Source organism: Homo sapiens, chromosome 3 (assembly GCF_000001405.40).
Source record: "Homo sapiens chromosome 3, GRCh38.p14 Primary Assembly".
Lineage (NCBI taxonomy): Eukaryota > Metazoa > Chordata > Mammalia > Primates > Hominidae > Homo > Homo sapiens.
Genome location: NC_000003.12, coordinates 162,595,609 through 162,599,942, shown reverse-complemented (window position 1 = coordinate 162,599,942; position 4,334 = coordinate 162,595,609). Strand labels below are relative to the sequence as shown.

The 4,334-nt window shown below is 37.8% G+C and overlaps 1 annotated feature.

The window, feature by feature from the left end:
* Positions 939-1,584: an enhancer, noted in NCBI's record as "OCT4-NANOG hESC enhancer chr3:162316147-162316792 (GRCh37/hg19 assembly coordinates)". NCBI's record gives its function as "activates a minimal SCP1, AML or CMV promoter by ChIP-STARR-seq in naive and primed H9 embryonic stem cells {active_cell/tissue: H9 hESC(naive and primed)}" and the evidence as "EXISTENCE:reporter gene assay evidence [ECO:0000049][PMID:30033119]".

Here is a 4,334-nt window from a genome sequence, read left to right as displayed (position 1 = left end):
CTGCCCCGCGGGAAGGCAGCCAAGGCCTGGTGAGAAATCGAGCGCAGCACCGGTGGGCCGGCACTGCTGGGGGACCCAGCACACCCTCCGCAGCCGCTGGCCCAGGTGCTAAGCCCCTCATTGCCCGGGGCCGGCAGGGCCGGCCAGCAGCTCCAAGTGTGGGGCTCCCCGAGCCCACACCCACCCGGAACTCGTGCTGGCCCGCAAGCACAGCGCACAGCCCCCGTTCCCGCCTGCGCCTCTCCCTCCACACTCCCCACAAGCTGAGGGAGCGGGCTCCAGCCTAGGCCAGCCCAGGAAGGGGATCCCACAGTGTAGTGGCGAGCTGAAGGGCTCCTCAAGTGCCGCCAAAGTGGGAGCCCAGGCAGAGGAGGCACCAAGAGCGAGCAAGGGCTGTGAGTACTGCCAGCACACTGTCACCTTTCATTAGTATTTTGATGTTTTATTGTTCAATAATTTTCTATTTTGTGAATATGCCACATTGTATTTATTCCTTCTCTGATTGATGAGCCTTAAGTTTATTTCCCCTTTTTGAGTATTTCAATGAGGCTAATCTAAATATTCACATCTAAATATTTTTGTCAACATATGCTTTCATTCATCTTGAATAGATACCTAGGAGGGAAATTGCTGGGTAATAGAATAAATGCATGTTTAAAAATTTTAGAAACTCCCAAACTGTGTTCTAAAGCAGCTGAACCATTTTACACTCCCATCAGCAGTGTATGAAGATTTCACTTTCTCTTTGTTATTGCCAACATCTTATTATTGTCTGTCCTTTTTATGATAGCTATTCTAATAAGTTTGAGGTGTACTTTATTATGATTTTAATTTGCATTTTTTCTAATGAGGGATAAGGTTGAGCAACTTACAACTGTTTATTGACCATTCTGTCTTTTTTGGTGAAATGTCTATTCATATCGTTAGTACAACTTTTAAATTCATTGTTTGTCTTCCTATTATTGACTTGTAATAGTTCTTTCTATATTCTGGATGTGTTGGGGTGATCAGACCCAACATCAGGCCGTGGGGGCTATGAAGTCTGGCGGAGTCAAAAGAATGAGAAAAGACAAGTTAAGAGAGAAAGTGGACCAGGGGGCCAACGCTAGTATGGAGGCTGTGAAGGCCCCGAGCTGTGGGAGCCCATGCTATTTATTGGTGATCAAACAAAGAAACAGGTGGTGAGGATGTGGGGGGTTGAAAGGAAGTGGTGTATCAAGTGAATGAGCTACAGCTGTGATGGTTTAGCATTTTCTTTGAAAGCTATGGCTACTTGAGATAATGGAAGTGCTAGAAGCAAGGAGCCAGCAAGTCTGGACACATTCCAAAGGCCACGAGGGGTTTTACCCTGGACCCTGGACATGTTCCAAGCCCTGCCTCAGCTTCTGTCCCAACACTTGGCTTTTCTCCCAATAGGATGCAAGTGGATTAACAGATATATGATTTGCAAGTTTACCTTTTTGTGTTGTAGCTTTTCATGGTGTCTTTTGAAGCACAAAACTTTTAATTTTGAGGAAGCTTAATATTTCAAATATAGAACTGATTTTTCACTCCTGTTTCATGTTTTCATCATCTTAAAAGTTTCATAAACAAAGAAGTTGTTTCTGGTTATTTTATTTATAAAATGTGAATAAAATCAGTCACTTATGAAAGTGGAGCAGGCACAAATGTATTTTAAGAGCTTCCAGAGCAATTCTTACGTGCTACCAGTTTGAAAAAATGCAGTTGGAGATGGAGACCAATGTGTACATTACAAAGAACTTATCCAGGGTGAGAATCAGAGGAGAAAACAAAACTGTTCTCAAGGGCAGATTATGTATTAGGATTTTTATATGCTTGTATACTATATACATGTATCATACCTATTTTATAATATTCATAAACAATATCAGAGGAACGGAGTAGAATTGAGAGAAATTTCTGAGAGAGTGTTATCAAACACTTCTAAATGCTTGCATAAACGGAACATTTCATAGAGATAGAAAAACAGCAACTTAAGTTTATGGAAAGTATTTTGTTGTTAGTGTCTTAAAATTGAGGGAGAAATGCAGCCTCATCCAGTTTCATTCAGCTCCAACCTGTGAAAAGCATGGAAGCTTCTACTTCTATTCTTACAATAAGGAAAAGCTGAACAAACTCAAAATCAATGACTTTTCTTGGATATATTAAAGAACAAAGATTGCATAGTAAACTAGCCAAACAAGAGAGGCAAGCATACCCAGAAAGAGATTGTCACTTAGATATGCTTGTCTGATGCAGAAGCCACTGGACCCATGAACTGGGATTAAAAAATTATTTTGACCAATTATTGGAGATAGAATAAGACCAATATGAAAGTGAGAAACCTATGTGACCACCGTTTGAAGAGGGGCCATGCTTTAATGGGCTATCTTCCAGGAACCCCAGGAGTTTTTAGTTTTCACTGTGCAGATGCAAAAATATTTTCTCTTAACTCTGGCAAGAGGAAAGGGAGTATAACTGCTGTGAAACACAGTCATATTCTTCTCTATAACAAAGGACTATTCTCTGGGTAAAAGTACTTCCAGAAAGCAAAATTGTAAAACTTTATCCAAGCTTGGAAAAAAGAGCTGATCTCCAGTCCAGCTCACACCAGCATGGACTCACAAAACAAGAAAGAAAAAAAAAAAAGAAACAGTCAGAAAGGTACTGGGGTTCCAGGAAGTAGAGTTGGAACTTTTCAGCCAGGGCAGAAAGTAGGAGATGGGGTCAACACTGTAACACTGAGAAAAAGCTTGTGAAAGTCACAGCAATAAAACAAAGGCCTCTCAAATGCTGAATCTTAATTAGCAGATTATAGAACACTCCCCTGCCCTGTGAGTTTGCCATCGCACAAACAGGGATCCAATATAATTACAGTGGATTTAGATGAAACAGGTGGACAATAGATACTCTCTATGATGAGGTATATACCTACATACATGAGTAGATGTGTATTCCTCTGTGTATATATGTCTGTGTATGCATGTACACACACACAGACATATAAATATATGTGTGTATATATTTATTCCAAAAATCAAGACAGGAGATAAAAACACCAAAGAATTTGAAGTCTCTGGTACAAAAGCTGCAACAAACATTAAACATAGCCCAATTCCTAGCATGATTAACTTAAATTCTCATTCTAAAGGCCTAATTTACCTCAGTTTCCATTCCCTACTTTCAACCAAAAATTTGCTAGTATGCCAAAAGGCAAGAAAAAACACAACCTAAGAAAACAAGCACTCATAGAACCAGCCTAAGGTTGACACAGATGTTAGAACTATTGGACAGGAAATTTAAAATAACTATAATTAACATGTTAACTGTAATGGAAAAAGACAAAATGAAAGAACAGATAAATAATGTAAGTACACAGATAGAAACTAAGATATAATCAGGAAATGTTACAATTCTAAAACACAGTAATACAAATGAAAAATGTCTTATGGAAACATCAATAGACTCAACATAGCTAAGGAGTGAATGAGTAAACTTGAAGACAGATTAATAGAAACTTCTCATACTGCAATGCACAAAGAAAACAGAATGAAAACCACAGAACAAAGCATTAACAAGCTGTGGAATAGTATGAAAAAGTTTAACATAAAATAATTGGAATATCAATAGCAGAAAAAGAAAACAGATCAGAAGAAATATTTAAAGTAATAATCATCAATAACTTTCCAGTATTAATGACAGACATCAAACCATAGATCCAGGAAGTTTAGACAATACCTTGTAGGATAAATACACACACACACACACACACACACACACGTGTGCACACACACACAAATACACTCACCAACCCCAAGGCATATCACATTCGAGGTGCATAAAACCAAAGATAAAGAGAAATTTGTAAGGGATATCAGAGAAAAGCTTCCTTATCTATAATGAAATAAGGATTAAAATTCCAGTGGCCCTCTCTTTATAAGCAATGCAAGCAAGAAGCAATTGGAGTAAAATATTTAAAGTGTTAAAAGTTTTGCAATAAAATACTAAATTCTATATTCAGTAAAATTATCCTACAAACATGAAGGAGAAATAGAGACTTCTTCTGACAAACAAAACTTGTGTATTTTGTTGCTAGCAGAATCGCCTTTTAATAAATTTTAAAAGAAGTTATTCAGAGAGAAGAAAAATAATATAGAAACTTAAACTTACATTTAAAAATGGAAAAGCACCAAATAACAAGTAAATGAAGGTAAATAAATACTGTATTTTTATTAATTGATCTAAATATAAATGTTTAAGTAAATAATGATAACGGATTGTGTGATCATAGCATCTATAGAGGAAATTAATACTAGCAATGTTATAAGGGACAG